Here is an 18,703-nt window from a genome sequence, read left to right as displayed (position 1 = left end):
CAGTGCTCTGCTCCTCAGTGAGGAGGAGGGCCCATGGGCACTAAGATTTCTCCAACCTTGACCTTCGATGACTTAGAGGGAGGCAGGAGGGCAGCCCTGGGGACCATGGCGCTGCCGCTGGGGCATTTTCTGCGGTCACAGCTGTTAATGGGCAGGGCCGAGGAAGGGCTGAGGGGCTGCACACCCATGAGGACATGGAGCTGGCCCCCTGCTCTCCTGGGGCACCTGGTTAAGCACACTTTACTGGAGGGCTGACAGGATCAGGGACAAAAGGCAGCCCCGCCTGGCTGGTGCAGCCACTGGCGGGACACCACAGGAGGTGAGATGGGCTCAGTGGCCACCGATAATTGTACGAAGCTGAAAAATCTCTAGAATATTTCCAGCCCTTTGCACTTGTCAAATATCACACTGGAAACCCTAGCAATTTGTGTAGGACCCTTTCCAGAAGGAAGGGGACTTCATTGGCGTGGCCTTGTGCAGGGGGAGTTTCTCGGAGTTTCAGCCTGGGAGTGGGCCGGGCCTCCCTGTTCTGGGCTCACCCCACCTTCTCCAGCCACTCTCGCGTGCACCTGGCCTCACCATGAAAGGCGACTTTCTAGACGGACTCCCCAGCCAGGAGACGTCTGCGCTTCTCAGGCTCTTTGGTTTTCCCTTCACATTTTTGGGAGTTACATGACACCCAGCAGCCAGCAATCCTGGCGGGCTAAGAAATACAAAGTTCAGGGCCTGAGGCCGCTGTGGCCTCCACTGTGGTTTTTCTGGAGCTCTGTTTCATTTGGGCTAGAGTGAACGCTTCCCTCCGGAGACCCCAGCAGGCAGGGGCTGAAGAAAGTTGAAGGAACAGTCATTTCCACTGTGGCTGGGTGTTGGTCGTCTGGCACGGAGGTAGCCTGACAGCATGCGGACAGGGGGCCAGCGCGGCCGCAGGGCTGGATACACTGAAGGAGCGGCCCAAGGCGAGACGCGGCGTGTGCAGGCTCCCTCTCTGTCTTTGGGACAGCTTGACAACAGCAGTAATCATTAACTCCCCAAGTGCTTTTATTATAAGTCCATGTTACCTGACACTTCAACAGAATTAAAACAGAACAACCATTTGCAGTTAACTTGGCCTTTTATGACCTCACAGACTTTTACAAGGAAGTCTCGGGTTGCCTTATTTTCAAAAGGAAGCCAGGAGGCATGATGGGGACCCCAAAAAAGAGCTGAGAACAGACCCCCAAATCGAAAAGATAAATGAAAAAAACAGATAACATGTTTTATGGTTGTAAAAGCAACACGTGGTCACAGAGGACAATTTGGAAGACACAGAAAAGTATAAAAAATCCCATAGAAGCCACCCATCCCTACAGACCACTGTCAGTGTTCTGAGCTATTTCCACCCTTCCTGATTGTGGAAATAGCTCTTTGCATGTGTGCCTTAAAAACAAAAGTGGAAGCAGATTTGGCACTACAGTTTATGATTTCATAAGTGACGCCCTAAAAACCTATAATATTTCAGGTAAATTTGATATAGGGATCAATAAAGAGAATAAAATTAACCCACAAGTGATTGAGGGCCTAATCCATATAAGGCACTCCATTGGGTACTATGGGGGATTAGAGATGTCTGAGGTTCGGACTCTGGCCTTGAGACACTAGAGGGAGAGGAGAGGAACACGTAAGGGCAGCTTTGATAGTCATATCCTCAGCTCCAGACATTAGGCCCTCAAAATGGTTTGCTGCATTGAGCAGAGTGTAGCCCATCCCAAAGGCTCCTCATTATTTATTCACTCAACAAATATGTACCTGTCCCTATTGCATGTCAGGCATATGGGTGTTTAGGTTTTGGAGCAGGGAAGCATTGTGGTGAGAGCAATGTTTCAGGAGATTTATACGAGCACTGCTGACCAGATGAAAAGCATGATGGGTAATGTTATGTGTTGACTTGCCTAGGTCATAGTACCCGGATATCTCGTCAAATATTAGGCTAGGTGTTGCTGTGAAGGTATTCTTTAGATGACATTAACATTTCCATCAGTAGACTTTGAGTAATCAAATTACCTTCCGCAACGTGGGTGGGCCTTGTCCAATCAGTCAAAGGCCTTAAGAGAAGAGACTGAGGTCAGATTTCAGATTTGCCAGCCTCCACAATTGCATAAACCAATTTCTTAAACTCTATTTGCTTTTCTATCATCTAATATCAACCTATCATGTATTATCTATCTATCTATCTATCTATCTAGCTAGCTATCTATCTAGCTATCCATCCATCCATCATCCATCCACCCACCCACCCATCTATCCGCATCCAACCCTGTTGGTTCTGTTTCTCTGGAGAGCCCTGAGTAATAGAGATGGGACTGGACAAAGGCAGGAGGAGGGAGAGCTGGTTATTCAGAGTGGGTGAGGGAGGTCAGCTGGGCCAGTCAGGATGCTGGGAGGGGTATGTGAACATATGTCTATGTTTGTGTGAACATAACATATGTCTATGTTTGTGTGTCCCAGCTTGCTGGGAGGGAGAGTAGAAACTGAGTCTGGGGACCAGACAGGAAGGTGGACAAGCAGGAAGGCAGGTCACATGGTGGGAAGAGCTGGAGCGGCCCACGGAAGGGAGCAGGAGACCAAGGCCAGTTAGGGAACAGGAGGGCCAGAGGTCAAATACAGTGCAGAGAGGTCTTTGGGGGCAGTTTAGGGACATACACATCCCATTTCTGCCCAGGGATGGGCTTTTCAAAGGACCAAGCAGGTTGGGACAATAAGGCTTGCACAGAGGGGGTGGCAGTGGAGAGGAAGACCTGGAATCCAGGCCCATGAGAATGGTGAAGAGAAATAGGGCAGTAATGATGGGAATTGGTTTGGGGTCAATGATGACTTCAGTTTAGACCTGTTGGGCTTGTGGGAATGACAGAATAAGACTTTCAAGGGTGAGGAGGGGTAGTGACCAGTGTCATGTTCCAGAAAGGACAAGGAAAATGCAGAGTGAGGAAAAGCCATTGGGTTTGACAAGAGGGAGGGGAGGTAGTGGGCCTGCATGTGGAGGGCAGCATTTGTGGGCCCCCTACTATGAGTATATAGAAATGAAAGAACAGAAGAATACTACATGAATGGCGGCAGAGCTGAGTGATGGGAGCCCTGTGCAGATCTGAATGAAGAATGAAACTCAGTCATCAACATATGCAGGCCTGATCCCATTAAGTACTTCCTCTGAGAGTTAGCAAACTGATATCCTTTAATCATGCCTTATATTTATAAAGGCCTTTCTCCAAAGAACTCCAAGTGCTCAAAAACATTAATTAATGCACTCTCCCAGCCCCCTTTAGGGAAAAGTTGGTGGCAGGTATCATCATTCTGTTTATAGGCATGGAAACTATAGCCGACATGAAAATGACGCTGCCAACCAAGGTCACAAAGCTAGTCTGTGGCCAGGAAGGAGGTGAGCCAGGCAGATGTCCTACCTGGCTGTCCTCCTTCTGCAGCTAGGCCATTCCTACATCACCCATCTCTTGCCAGGACCCACCCCCCCACCAAAAAAAAAGTTACTGGTGAGACGTGGCTATGAGATCAACTACAGGGTCCAAGGCTTCAGAGAGTGGCCGCAAGATAATCCCAGAGGGATCTTGGGGCCAGGTGTGGGGCTTGGGGATCAGGTCTTTTGTCTGCTCTGTCTTGGACTACATGGGAACTTAAGCAGCTTACTTCTGCTTACTTATTTACTACCAGCAAATGCTGAGACCAAACAATAACAAAATTTCCAAACTCAAGAAAGCATGCACTCAGTTTGTGTTTCACGGGTACCCACACACAAGAATTCTCTAGAGCTGTAAAGTAAGGAAATACCTCAATTCTTATGCTTCAGGCTGTGCAAAACCCAACCATGTGCTCAGAAGCAAAATGCTCTTTAAACACAAAGAATATCCAGGACAGCCCACTAAGAAGATGATTTGGCCACCTCTGGTGATGATGATGACACCTGCCACCAGCTTTTCCCTAAAGGAGGCTGGGAGAGTGAATTAATTGACATTTTTGAGCACTTGGAGTTCTCTGGACAAAGGCCTTTATAAATATAAGGCATGATTAAAGGGTATCAGTTTGCTAACTCTCAGAGCTTGGGTTTTATCAGGCCATGAAAGGAAGGAAATGCCAGGGGTCCCAATGGCAGAGGTGATCCACAAAGCCCTCTACTGTGGCCCCAGCGGGTGCTGATGTAGGGACCGTTAACCTAAAGGCATGCAGTCCTCCCCAGGACTGCACCTGCCAATGCCGAGCCCTGTGGGCTGCCAATACCCAGCCTGTTGGATAATGAGGGCTGGCTCCTGTGGGATCAGTTAAGCAGTACACACTCCCAGTCTAGAGTTTAATACCCTAGACATGGGTGGACATGGGAAACTCAAGGGGCCACCAGCATGCTGGCCCAATGCCAGAGTTTAATTAGGCCCTAAATCTCCAGTGATTACATGACGGGCCCAGTCCCCTGAGGCCAGCCAAAGGGAGAAACATCCCAAACAGCATTGTATCGGCCTCTTTTGAGTCTTTCCCCTCAACTCATTGTTTGTGGAGGCACTGCTTGTTAGTGCAAAGAATCCCTTCCAAGTCACTGAGTAGCTGTACAGAAAATCAGAGGGCCGCTGCTTAATGATCTCGGCCATCAGGTAGGCTTTCCCACACCTGCCTGCTGCATCCCGTGGGACAGGGAGTCCTGTAGGGGGACAGGGTATAGATGACCACAATCACACTTCCACTCTTGGGTTTCGATGGGGGTTTGGTCAGAAGTCAGCAAAACTATGACTTGTTCAGAAAACAGAATGATTAGGCTCTCTGAGAGACCCCAAAGGCCCAACCACTCTGCAGGACCAGGGCCTGGGACCTGCAAGTGAAGCCTAATCTTTCGGGAGCCCCTGGGGAGGAAGAGGATTATGTGAAGTGGTTCCGAAAGGAGGAAGGACCTGAGACTTTCACAGAATTTCTGTCTTTTCCTTCTTGTCTCCATCCTTCTTTCATAGCCTTGGAGGGGAACATTCCAGCTTCTTATAGTTATGGTGAAGAAGGCCAACACCAGCATGTCACTCATGGTCCAGACCGATTTCCTGATCTGGGTGGCCAAGGGTGAGAATAACATTTCCACTGAGCTGATTGATGAAGGACACGGGTACAAGTTTAATGTAGATGGGGCGGATCTGATGGGAGGTCGTGAGAAGAAAAACTTTCTTGTCTTCCTCTGACTTTCTGTTTTCATTTGAAGAGAGTAGGATTAAGTTCTTAGGTCTTAGAGTCAGATGGCCTGAGTCTGCAACCTGGAAGAGACCACCTAGCAATCTGGTCCTACCCATTTGGGAGCCTACTCACCCCACGGTTCCTCTACTTGCAATGAGTTTCCTAAACAGGGCAGGGCCAGATTTCCACCTTGCGCAACTTCTGCTGTGGCTGGAGAAGGAGGATGCTAGCCTCCTTGGTGTTTACGAAATGAGTTATGATATGTAATGTTAGAATAACGTCCAGCACGTAGTATGTTTCGTATGGCAACATCCTTTCCCTCCTCCTCAGCCTGGGGTTGGTTGGCTATGGAGATATGCCCACACTACCACCACTCCTGGCAGCCCCCTGTGTTCAAAGAGTGTGGGAATAGGGTACTGGCCGATGTCCGACGGTCAGCACCGCAGTGGGCCATAAAGCAGCGGCAAAGGGAGCGGCCAGCTCAGATACGGCGCAGGAGATGAAAGTCGGCCGTGTTTTCCTTTCCAAAGTGCTGCTGTGTTCCTGAAGGCCTGCAGCTTCCTCTGCCCTGCTGGGGATTTTTTTTCTTCCCAGTTCCTCTCAGTGATATCTTAAGAGGCAAACTTCCAGCACTAACAGGAGGTCTTTTGTTCTCCTTTTCTCAAAGCGGACTTTAACCCAGTTACTACAGACTGAGTCACTGTAAAAACAAACAAATAATAATAATACTCCATTTTCTTAAAGGCTCTTCCATGCCTGCTGACAGAAAAGGGGGAACCTGACACTGCCCTGGGCCTGTGGGGCTCCTCCCCGCCTCCGTCTTCTGGAGGCACAGCCCACGAGAACCTTCCAGAACACACTGGAGCCCGGCACCGTGGAACTGTTCAGCTAGGCTCTGGCTTGTTTGGAATTTCATCTGACTTGAAGGGGCCCGTGGACTCAGAGGAATTTGGGTCTCAACACAGTCCCGGTGGGATTTACCCCAGACCGAGGAATGCTTGTTTTACTCCTGGATCTGCTACACACTAAATTCGGGACTTTCCTCCCTTCTCTACACTTTAGTTTCTTTTTATGTATGTGGAACAGGAGTATTAGACACTCTGCGATTTTATCAGAAAGGATTTTACAATGGTTATACTGTGATTTCTCCTTTTCCCTGAGTACATCTCCTCCTGGCTGAGAGTTCCTGGAGGGGGAATGACAGCTAACACATTTCTGAATCCTTGGTCTTAAGCATGGTATTTGGTTCATGGACACACAAGGTGTCTAGTAGACGTCTGTTAAAAGGACACATGAATGAATGAATGAATGAATGAGGTTTGAGTTGGTGTGCTGTGCTTGGTCTGACAATGATATCAACAGGAAGCTTCACTTCATCATCATCAATAATAAAAAGGTAAGGCTTAAGGAGTTCCTACTGATACCACCTCTTTATGTAGAAGTAGCTTTCTCTTCTTGGGAAGCTACTTGTACTTGAGAATTTAGATTTAAAATCAGACCGAGACTGCCATGGGTCTCTAGGACGGCCGTCTATTTTTCTAAGCTGGTCCCCACTTTAACAAATCCCAGGAGCTGAAGCAGTAGGATCTTCATTTACTCTGTTGGGTTTGTGCCCCCGAGATACAGTCCTTTCCATTTCAGCATCAATCATTTGAAAAGTAAATATCTCACCTTCTTGTGACCTGGCAAGGATAGAGTAGAGTTCTCTCCATCAGGGTCAATTTACATCTGTGTCCTTTTTTTTTTTTTTAACTTGTATTTTAGGTTTGGAGGGTACATGTGAAGGTTTGTTACATAGGTAAACTTGTGTTACAGGGGTTTGCTGAACAGAGTATTTCATCACCCAGGTATTAAGCCCAGTACCCAATAGTTATCTTTTCTGCTCCTCTCCCTCCTCTTCTCCCTCCACCCATGAGTAGACCCTAGTGTTTGATGTTTCCTTCTTTGTGTTCATAAGTTCTTACCATTTAACTCCCACTTACAAGTAAGAACATGTGGTATTTGGTTTTCTGTTCTTGCATTAGTTTCTTAAGGATAATGGCCTCCAGCTCCAACCATGTTCCTACAAGAGACACGATCTTGTTCTTTTTATGGCTGCATAGTATTCCATAGTGTATGAAGTCTTAACAAGGGCAGGAGTAGGGTGGGAGTCTCATTTTATAGGGAAAATGTTCCTTGGCTGGTCCTTCCTTCCCTACTCTCTATCCTGTCATCCTCAATGTCCCCTAACAACCAGGAGTGGATGACAGTAAACAATTTCAGTGTTGGGACTGATCTGGCCACTCCCCACTGGGTATGGTTCCCCCAGACGGTGCACAGCTCCTGGCCTAGCCTCAGTTTATTTCTCTGCTGTAGGAGAGCACGGGCCCCATTCTCAGATTGCCTCTTCCAGAATATGCCTTTAAGAGGAGGAGTAAAAAATTCCAGGAACAGGCTTCATGTCAATGACAGTAGCTGGCTAATTTCTTCTGAGAAAATGGAAACCTTGGTCTCCTGATGTGTGCAATGACAGGCACAAGAGGAATTTTCCAATACAACAAGGGAACGAATTTTCTAAGGACAAGCTGGCCGAGAAAAGCCGCCATCTCACCGTGAACCAGAATTAGGTAACGTGGCACCCTTGGAGCAGCAGAGGTGACCGGCTGGAACAGTCGGCCAGGAGGACAGCTGCACTCCCCACCACCTTCTGGGTGTGTTGCCAATGTCTGCCCCTGACGGGATTAGTGACTTCAGGACAGCTGGAACATTCGCAGTGCTGTTTCCTTACGATGGGAAGAGACATGATCTTGACTCTGCTTCTGTAGGAGATGGTGATGAGGAGTAGCTGAAAGCTAGATAGGTTCTTTAAAACCTGTGACAGAAATGGCGTGTGCCAGGCCTATCTGTTTTGCAGGAGCTTTTACAGCAGCCCAGCTGTTTCCTTCTATGAACTCATTTATTACTCCCTTCGTCCACTCATTGGGCATTACTCTATGGGGAACACGGTCCTATGAGCCAGACAAAAAAAAGCTGAATTGTCTTAGTCCCTTAGTTTTGCTCTTCCCAATTCCCTTCATCATCCTTCCATAAAAGGAGAAGGGCCATTGTTCTCCCCAGCCCCTTTCTTTTTTGTCACATTTTCAAAACTCTGAGCGTAGGGTGCTATGAAAAGGCTTACGAGAAGGGATGAATCACCCCCATGGTTGAAAACCCACCGAGCAGCTGTCAAGGTTTATAATTGTCCTCCATGAACCCCTGGAACCCTTCTAGGACCCCCTTGGAGATGCTCATTACTGATTAGAAAAAAAAAAGTTTGGGTACGATTAATTCCCAGCGCCAGGTAGAAACAAAACCTTTCCAAAGCTGTTACTGTCAGTGAGAAATTCACCCTGGTGGTGTTGTTTAGGATATCAGATATTCTGTGCCTCTTGCCCCAGAAGTGTCTGTTGTGGAAAGGGCTGAAGAATTTGAATCTCCAATATAAAATGGAGAATAGACATGGGATAAGAAACAGGAAACACATCTGCTGGTCTCTCAGATAATCTTTTTTTCTTAATGTATTTTTCCCCTGATTTTGGGAACATGCATGTTAATGGGAGGAAACTTGAAAAAAAAAAAAAAAAGACAATTCCAAAAAAGAAATAAAAGTCAAGTATAATCTTATTGCCCAGAGATTGCACTGTTAACATTTTTATACATATTTTTCCAGTTAAAATGCACATAATACTTTTTTCTTACAGAACTACTACATTGTATGCATATTGCTTTATAATCTGTTTTTTCTCTTTAATAATATGGTGTGAACACTTTCCCATGAGATTAAGCCTTCTTCTGACACATAATTTTAATGACCATCTAGTATTCCATCGTATAGATGTTAATTTAACCAATACCATATGGTCGAACATTTAGTTGTGTCTATTTTTTTGCTAGTATAAATAACACAATGTAGACATTGGGGAGACTGACTCAGGCTGCTCCCTTGTTCTGGTCATAAGTCACTTAGTCCTTCCTTAAAAGCCATTGGTCATTTGATGGGCCAGACAGACTTCACAACCCTTGCTCCAAACACAAGGACAAATTTAATCTACTCAAGCTAGGAGTGGCCTTGGATGTTCTCTTAATTCCACAGAAACACTGATGTAAAAAGACAGTTATACTCAATTCATTTGTTCATGGATGCATTATTTCAGACAAAACAGGCTCCCTTGACTGATTTCCCTTTGGCCCTGGTCTTCTTTTCTTCAAGGCAGGCAAGCTTATTGTAACAGCAAAGGAAGCGAAATGCCTTTAGCAAGGTAAACCTGTAGAAGCAACTGGAAGCATGTATTCCAGGGTGAATCATTTTTAAATCATCTTCCATGTTTAGGATTTTCCATGTAAGTGTTCTGCTCCATTAGAGTGGATAATTGGGAGGGAAGAGAATAAACGTTCCAGCGCTCCTAACATGCTGAGGCATTTACCAAAATGCTGTGGTTCATCTAGGCAGAGGGGAAGGCATCGGCTCAGGAGCACTGAGTAAATACTCAGTGGAGAAACTGGGGCAAAATCTAGGCTACTGGATCCTAGTTTGTCTCAGCCTCAAGAAATTCAAGCTGCCACAGTGGGTGGCGGGGTGCCTTAGTTCACCTCCTGTTTCCACGTCCCTGGTCCTTTAGCTCAGCAGCAAGCCAGGGAGAAAATGTACTCCATGGTGGAGGGCATGGGCTGTGTGCCTGGGACATTTGGTCTGGGGAGGGGCACCTGAGCAGGTCACCTGTCACTCCATTGCCCCCTTTCTCATTCTTGTGGCCCTACACACATCTCCAGTGGCCATTGGATGAGATTGCTAAGGACAAAATTCTCATTGGAATGGCAAAGTCTCATACTTGTAATCCTAGCGCTTTGGGAGGCTGAGGTGGGTGGATCTCTTGAAGCCAGGAGTTTGAGATCAGCTTGGGCAACATAATGAGACCCCACCTCTACAAAAAATTAAAAAATTAGCTGGGTATGGTGGCACATCTGTAGTCCTAGCTGCTCAGGAGGCTGAGGTGGGAGGATTTCTGGAGCCCAGTTCAGTTCAGCTTGGGTGACAGAGCAAAATGTTGTCTCTAAGAGAGAGAGAAAAAAAAGGAAGTCAAAGTCTAGGCCCTTTTGCCTTTCTCTGAGGCCCTGAGGCTTCCTGAAGAGGATGGTTGAGGAAGACCTGATGGAGAGTTCAAGGGGTATGGCATAGGAATGTACATAACGGTAGACATGTGCAAAAGAATGCGGGTGGGGAAGAAGTATTCGTGTGTGCACACACAAACTCTCTCTCTTGCTCTGTCTCTCTTTTCCTTTTCCTCTCTCTCTCCCCCACCGCCTCACTCACTCATAGCTTAATGGGGTTTCTGGGAGAGGAAATTGTGGTCTCAAATGCATATGAAAAGTCCTGGAACAAGCTCTCAAAGGCGTGTGGGGGTGGGGAGCACGGGGGGTGGGGGAATCACAAGACTGCCCTTGGGCAAACATTTTTGTCCCACCTCTCTTTTCAGCTGTCCTAATGTGTCATCAGACACCCCTGCCCAGCCTGACAGGCCCACATACACAAACAAAGTGCCCCAGTGAGCCATTCCTTTCCCAAGCCGCTGAGGGGTCTTCTGGGAGTTGGAAAGGATTCTTTCTGAGCTGATCCGACACTGGCTGATGAGCTCAGCTGTCTCCTCTTCTAGGAAAGATTTACTGCAACAGAGCATGGCTGCCTTCCATCCCCCTTCCCAGCCGTCTTTCTTCCAAGCCAGAGACTGAGGTTGGGGAGTTGACAGAGGGAATGCTGGGAATAGACCAATATTTCTTCCCTGGGTGATTTGAGGGGCTGCACAGACAGTGGGAGCCTCTCTTTGTGCCCATAATTAGACAATAGTGGCATCACTATAAATGCCAGCCCTGATACATTCCCCACTTTCAGCCAGCCCAGGTGCCAGGCACCTGCATCTTGGCCTCTGGAGACTAAGAAGGAAGGGTCCCATGCCCATTTGCCAACCTTTTATACTAATGATGTGAATTCCCTCTTGTCCCATTGGATTTCATCTCTCCCTCCCCATCAAACCACCTACAGAGACAGGCCCTAATCAGTTCCTACTACAATTTTCTTCTGTTTGCCACTGGGACAACTTGTCCCCTACCTGCAGCTTCTGCCCACTCAGCATCAAAGGGCCCAATGATCATCGGCTGGCGAGAGCTTGAGAGCCCACCAGAGAGCCCATCATGGGCCTGGCCCTGTTCCAAGAGCCTCTCACATATTAACTCATTTAGTCCTTAGAACAATTCCATGAGGTGGGCAGTTATGATTCCTGTTTTCTAGACGAGGCTACTGAAACCCAGAGAGGTTCATTAACTTGCCCACGGTCTCACAGCTAAAGAATGGAAGATCTGAACTTAGCAGCCTAGCTCTGGAGCCCTGCCCTCGAGGCCATGCTGCAGGCGGGAATAAATCAGTTCCAGTTCCGCCAGCCCTTGCTGCTGGCCCAGTTCTGACCTGGTGCCTCAGTCTGACAACAGGACTCTGTCTTGCTTCTGTGCCTAGGTTCCTTCTCTAGAGACCTGGTATGTTCCACTTTCTAGCATACCCTAGGATGCAAGGTCCCTCATTTCAAGTTCTGGAATCCCACCCTGAGCCCATTCTGATGGCCATGGCCATGGACCTTCCTGATCTCAGACCATAAGAATGACGTATCACTCAGTCCCATATCCCACGCAGAGCCAAGAGCACGGTGCCCTGCACACACATAGGAGCTGTTCAAATCACATTTGCCGAAGGGAATCAATGCCAAAATGCTCTGTGCCTCAGTTTCCTCATCTATACAATGAGGCAATAAGAATACATCCAGAGTTTTGTAAGAATGAATTAAGTGAATCTATGTGTCTGGCATGTGGCCAGTGAACAGTGAGGGTTGGCAGTTACCATTATCGATGTAGTGGTCGCTTCTATGATACGTGGCAGAAGAACTTTGAGCTCTAGCATTCTAATCCTGGCCCTGCCACTTCTCAGATCTATGATCTTTGGCAATTGAACCAACTTTTTTTCCATGCTCGCTTTCTCATTTGAAAAGTTGCATAGTGATACTTGTACCTCACAGAGATTTTGAGAATTATGAGATAATATGTGCAAAGTACCGTACCTGGCCCAGAAAAAGATCTCAACAAATGATAGCAAAATTATTAGTATTATGATTGTTATTATTGTAAAACTGGGGTGCATACGCTTACAACATTTGGGGCCACTCAGTATTTTTCCTGTGACAGACTCCTCTCTTTGATACACACACATACACACACACACACACACACACACACACACACATCATTGCCTACCCCTTTGTACCTCCCTGCTCACATTTATGGTGCAATGAAGACATCTGGGGTTTAGCCATTCCCCATCAGCCCTAGCTGCGGGGGAGGGGGTTTAGGAGCTTTCATTCATGGAAAGCATCAATTCCCCCCCTCCTAATACTGAGGGGACACAGTATCACGGCCATCTGGAAGGAATGGCTTGACCAGATCCTTCAGGGAGTAGGACTATCAGAGGACAGGGAGTGTGAGCTTCTCTTTGACTACCTGGAAGTCACCTGCCTCCTGAGTGTGTGCCCAGCTCCACACAGTCCTAGGTGGTGAGACAGTTTCCCCGGGCTCCATTTCTCTAGCAGGATCCAGAAGTGAAAGGAGAGAAGAGGAGTGACAGTAGGACTGTGAGGCCCATCCAGGTGGCCGGCCAATCACTTCCACATCCCAGGGGCTCAGGACTGCACATCCAGTGGCTGCTCCAGATCCCTAAAGATCTCCCCAGGCCTGCCAGAGCACCACATGGTAGCAGGACCCCACCACTCCTTAGCAACAGGGTGAGAGATCCTTGTTGCAGCTGGTTGTGGGGAACCCTTTCATTTTCACTCACAAAAATGAAAAGAAGCAACTCCCCCACGCCACCGGCCACACACACACAGGGGGCCTGGCTCTGGAAAGGTGCAGAGGCCCAGGGAAGAAGAGCATCAGACCCATCAGGCTCCTCAAGTTGATTTGATTTGAGTCATTGGAAGGATATCGATTATCATAGCATCATATGGTTGTTTCTTGAGAAGCATCCATAGCATCCACATTGGGGGTGTGTATTCAGAAGGGATTTATTTAGAGATGGAAAAGCCAATGAGGTGGCTCCCCTGTTTGTCTTTATTCATGAATCTGTGATGAGTAAAGCAAACAGAAGAGGTGTCCTCAAATCTCTAGGATGGCTGTTGTTCAGCGCATCCAGAGTCCCTGGCAGAACCCAGCATGGAGGACAGTCACTCTTCTTGCTCCTACTTCTGGGACTTCTTCCAGCTTCCATTTCCCACTGTCCCTGTGTATGTCACTATGCCACTGGGGACCCAACTCACTCTCCTGTTGCTGTCTTCTCCAACCAGCCTCTCTTAACCCACTGGGGAAAAGATGCTCCACCTCAGCCACCAAAACATAAATGAAGAAAAACTGGAGTTTTAATTTGTTTAAATAGGAAGGAGGGAAGAAAAGAGTCACTAGTGAGATGCACAAGGCCAAACCATCAGAATGAGGTTGGGCAGGGCAGGAACCGGAGGGGAGGGGAGGGGTCCATGGCTGCCTGGCCCATCTCAGGTAGGAGCAGTCGCCTAGTGAGAACTTCATGGGGCCATCTATAAAGGCCCCTCCATGGTGAGGGTGTTAAAGAGGAGACATTCTAGAGAGGCCACTCTGCCCCGCCACCCATGGTCAGCATTGGGTGGATCATGGGCAGATAGAGTAGTGAATGGTTAGCTGAATTATGAAAATGCCATAACAGGTGATTCGGCATCATTGCCCTCCTAGGAAGAAGGGCTGCAGAGACACAGAGAATTTGAGGTTAGATGGCCTCTTGTGGGTAATGGGTCTAACTTCAGGTAAGGCAGCCAGGTGGTATCAACATTTAAGATTCCAGGTAGATTTATTTATACCTGCAGTGAGAAGTTCAGTTCCAGTCCTCAGGCTTAGGAGGTAATAAAGAGGTCCCAGCCCCAGGCACCTTTGCCATAGATAGACTAAAAGCTGAAGACCTGACATCGCCAGGTTTCCTTTGCTCTGGGAACCAGACTGATGGGACAGGCAACCCCCAACGCTGCGGGGGAGGTGACTGGGAACACCCTGCCATGCTGGCAAGCTGGGGGCAGTTACAGGTGTAGATCCAAGGGGTGGCCAGACTGGTTTCAAGCCTGCTCATGGAAAACTGGTTCTTTTTTTTAACAGCTGTCAACTTGGCCCCCTGAGCCTGGGTAGACTGGCTGGCCAGGCAGAGCTTGAAGAGATGCATGGCAAATGCAGTCTCAGCTCTCACTCCATCAGTCAGCCCAAGACTCCTTGGAAGCACAGAGGCAGACTGGTGAGTTACTGAGGCTCTACACATCTTGCTGGAGGCCGAGGCCAGCACTAGTTTTTGGAATCAGCATCTGGGTGACACCCCAGTCGGCTGCTCAGGGTGACCTGTGTGAGGCTAGGCAGAGGATGAATGTGAAGTGTGGGGTGGAGGCAGGGAGGAAGGCTTTGAAATGGGCTGGGTCTGAAGTGGCAATAAATGTCAGTGCAACATTAAGAAATACACACCATGGGTACAGATCTGAATGCATATGGAATGTGTGTGTTCGTGTGTGAATATGTCTGTGTGAGCTAACACAGACATACCCAGCTTGATGAGCTAATGAAAAAGCCAAAAACTGAAAATGGGGGGGAAAAAGCCCTTTCTATCCCTGTAACCATTAGAAAGAAAATAAAGTCCAAATTGCATTCAGGGCTGCTGGGACAGAGGAAGAGAGGCAAGAATGGAAAAAACAGGCCATAAAGATGCCAGGGCTCCTTAAGCAGAAACATCTGTTGAAGTCATAAGACTAGGGGCCTGGCCAGGCTTCTAACAAACCCAGGAAGAGGAGAGTCTGTACAGGATCAGGACTACCCTCATCTGCCCTGTGCAGGGCCCCTGGGACCAGCATACGTGCAAAGGAGATACCCTCTCCAGGGCTCAGCCAAGGCCTGGCCTCTAGCAGCAGAGAAAGGGAGAGGGAGGAAGAGACGTTCCCAGGTCGGGAGGGGCTTGTGGCAGTCATGGGGGCAGTGATGTGATAGCCGTTTTGAGTGTGTATTTATTTAAAGCTTTAACTCACTGAGGTAGCCTGGTGAGCCACATGTCTCAACTCCTGCAGCTAAAGAAAAAAAAGTGAAGGCGGGGGAAGGGAGGGTCAGTTGCTGACCCTAACAGGAATGGGTGGCTATGCTCACTGTTTGCAAATGTAGGCCACTCTCTTGTTTGTAATTTTCAACAGAGGCTAGTCGTTCAAGGCTCGCCTCTTCTAATGACTACAAAAATGGCAGCTACCATTTATTGACCATATTCCACTCTCTGTACCATGTTCCTTGTAAGTATCACGTTACTTAATCCGCCAGTAATTCTGTTATCCCCAGAATGGGTGGAGACATGCATGGCTGTCTTCAAGGAGATTCTCGTATTAGCATTATCATCCTAGGAGGAAACTGAGGCTTAGAGAGGTTAAGGGACTCGCCCCAGGTCACCCAACTGGTACCTGGGAGCTGACCTGCCCTCCTTTCCTCTACAAAACTAATTTGAAAAGCAGCTTTAGCCAAGCCCCGTTGGGAAAGCAGCTTTGCAAAATCAGCCCAGCATTTATGGAGACATTGAGGTCCCTGCAGACCCTCGTGGCTTGTCCATCCCTGTGTTCCATTACATTAGCTTGGGAAAGCAGTAGGGGACTGTAATGACAGAACACACCAACACCAAACAAAGAAAAGTGGGTTAAAACTCCAATCCCCATGACAAGAGAATCCTACTCTCTCTCAAGGAAACTCACAGACGGTGAAAGAAATGAAATCCAGACTCGATACTACTCACTTGTGGGGAACCGCCAAGGAGCCATTTATCCATTATGAAAGTTACATGTTGTATCTCCTCTTCCTGGAATGCCCCTGTCCCCAGAACTGACCCTGCCAGACCGCATTCATTCAGTTCCTTCACCCATAGCGATCTATTCTACATGAGAAAGCTTGGTCCCTCTGGGGGCACTCTGGATCTTAATTTCACACGGGGGTAGCTAGAATGAAAAGCTTACCACTGTTGGCTCTGAAATTCATGGTCAGGGGACTACAAGTCTCCCCAGAAAATAAAAAAGTGAAATAGCAAGAGGACGGACTGAAGCTGCATCTCCTAGGTAGTTGCCTTGGGGAAATAAAGGATTTTGATGTTCCCTGAGCAATCATCTCTGTGCTGCTAACATTGACTAGGGTAGGAGCCTGCTGGTACCAGGTCGAGCCTCACATCAGCCCTTTATAATAGGTTACATCATCTCTGCTGTAAAGGGGAGGAAACTGAAGCTCAGAGAGGGAGCTTAACTTAAAGTCACATACTACTGAGTGACAAAGCTGGCATTAGGAATCCACAAGGCTGGGATGAACGCACCCATATGTTCTTTCCTGTGCTCCACTCTGCCTCAAGCTTGAATGTGCCTGTGTCCGCTGGCCAGCTTGTTAAAACCCATTCTCTGATTCAGTAGGGCCTGAGATTCTGCTTCTGTAACAAGCTCCCAGGTGATGCTCCTGCTGCAGGTTCCAGGCCCGCGTTTATAGGAGCGAGGATCTATACCACACTGCCTTTTTAAATGCACCATGTCTGCCATCTGGGCTGGCATTTCTCTGCCTCTTCAGTGCAGCTTTCCCACCAGAATGCCAGAACTGACCAAAAGCCACACTGTGCAGCCCAGTCAGCTATGCTATGTACCCAATTATTGTAAATCTTACTCTTCCCTATGACTTGGCTGAGTGTTAAAAACCCAACATCAGCCTTGGGTAGCAAAGGCTGGCGGAGGCCTGCTTCGGTGCAGCTCAGAAGCTGTGGAGGAAGAAGCTGCTCTGCGGGACTGGGGTAGGACTTGATACGGTTCTGGATCTCGGGGGGGATGGATGTGCTGAAATCTCTCTCAGATGGCCTCTCCCACAAGCTGACGGGAATTTCCTGCTCAGACCAGCAGAGGAATTAGGGGTTTGCTTCTCCAGGGCCAAGCTCAGTGGGAAAAGTAGGAGCAAGCAAGAAAGCAAGGGGCTGCCTTTGTGTGAGCCCAGCTGTCTTGGGTTCCTGGTTCTGCTCCATTTATAGCTGGGGGAGGGATCTTCTCCAGCTCGTAATTACAGCCTGAGATTCTGCATTTTCCCAGGGCTTGCTCAAAGGCTCTGAGTACCAATCTTTCAGGAGAGCTGGGGTGATCTGCATTCCACAGAAAGGAGGGGCTGGGAGAGGCTGGAGCTCAGGTTTGCTTTCCAGCACAAAGACAAGCTAGAAAGACAACCAGAAAACCCAACCCCAACCTCTGCAGTGCCCTGACCACTCTCCCCCTCTTTTGTGTGGACAGAGGGGTTCCTTCTTTGAAGACACTGCTGAGGGCCTCTTATGCGCAGGCACTGTGCTGGAACACTGACATATAGCAGAGAGCAGGATCCCTGGCTGCTGGCCTCAGGATCTCAAAGCTGGAAGGAGCCAATTTTTTTTTTTTTTGAGACAGAGTTTTGCTCTTGTTGGCTGGAGTACAATGGCGCGATCTCGGCTCACTGCAATGGCGTGATCTCGACTCACTGCAACCTCTGCCTCCTAGGTTCAAGTGATTCTCCTGCCTCAGCCTCCCAAGTAGCTGGGATTACAGGCACACGCCACCACACCCAGCTAATTTTTGTATTTTTAGTGGAGATGGGGTTTCACCATGTTAGCCAGGCTGGTCTCAAACTCCTGACCTCAGGTGATCCACCCACCTCAGCCTCCCAAAGTGCTGGGATTACAGGGGTGAAACACCGCACCCGGCCATGGAAGGAGCCAACTTTTAAAGGGGGTGACTGGATTTCCATGGGGTACATGCTGAGAATGGGAGTGTCTGTGAAGCCGAATTAATGTGTTCTGTGCACATTCCCTACCTGGCTGTGCTGAGCATGACACCTGGCCCTACTCTTTGGGCCCACTCACCTGCTCTCACACTGCTTTGCCAACATGGGTCTCCCTTTACTCCCTGGTCTGCCCCCACCTCCCCTGACATCACCCTTAGAACTCATTGGACACCTTTGTTAAAACCAGAGAAACACATGAGCTTGCATTTCCATGGGCATCTGGAACCGATCGGCACAAGGGCCGGTGAGGTTCTTGGGCGCACCGCAAATGTTCGCCTTGGTAAAAAATAAAGGTGTGTGGAGGGGAAAGGTTAGGTCAGGCAGGGAGGAGACAAGAATCAAGGCTGAGTGTGCACCATGGAAGAAGACTGAGCTGGGGAGTTGCTACAGGTCCATCGGGTTACTTGAGGCTCATCACTGCCCAGCTTTGAATAGTCCTCAGGGCGAATCTACTGTCCTCGGAACAGGACTATCGCAGCTCTGCCTCTCCGTGCCAGCCTCGGAGAGTTCTGATTGCAGTTTTTCACCCGCCTTTAATGATCTTCTCTTCCATAGGCTAGGAGGTGATGGGGGTAAGGGAGGGCTGCAGGAAGACTGATTGCAG

At 48.4% G+C, this 18,703-nt stretch overlaps 1 protein-coding gene across 6 annotated transcripts in view, besides 1 other annotated feature; it reads right to left on the bottom strand.

The window, feature by feature from the left end:
- Positions 1 to 18,703, bottom strand: part of RAD51B (RAD51 paralog B) — an 863,318-nt gene that overhangs the window by 78,353 nt on the left and 766,262 nt on the right. The window contains exon 11 of one of the 6 annotated variants that reach the window (NM_001321809.2): positions 2,041 to 2,081. The exons of 3 other annotated variants lie outside the window; for them this stretch is intronic. In NM_001321809.2, the coding sequence (NP_001308738.1) occupies positions 2,074 to 2,081 (8 nt within the window). In that variant the 3' untranslated portion in view covers positions 2,041 to 2,073. Of the gene's footprint in view, positions 1 to 1,020; positions 2,082 to 8,693; positions 10,260 to 18,703 lie in introns of those variants that run through there. 2 more of the 6 variants (NM_001321810.2, NM_133509.5) reach the window with 2 other exon arrangements.
- Positions 4,206 to 4,375: an enhancer, noted in NCBI's record as "experimental_36364 CRE fragment used in MPRA reporter constructs". NCBI's record gives its function as "activates a minimal promoter by MPRAs in K562 erythroleukemia cells, with activity observed for the non-introgressed 14:69067171 variant allele {active_cell/tissue: K562}" and the evidence as "EXISTENCE:reporter gene assay evidence [ECO:0000049][PMID:34662402]".

Source organism: Homo sapiens, chromosome 14, assembly GCF_000001405.40.
Source record: "Homo sapiens chromosome 14, GRCh38.p14 Primary Assembly".
Lineage (NCBI taxonomy): Eukaryota > Metazoa > Chordata > Mammalia > Primates > Hominidae > Homo > Homo sapiens.
The sequence above is the reverse complement of the archived record's forward strand: the minus strand, read 5'-3'. Positions and strand labels throughout refer to the sequence as shown.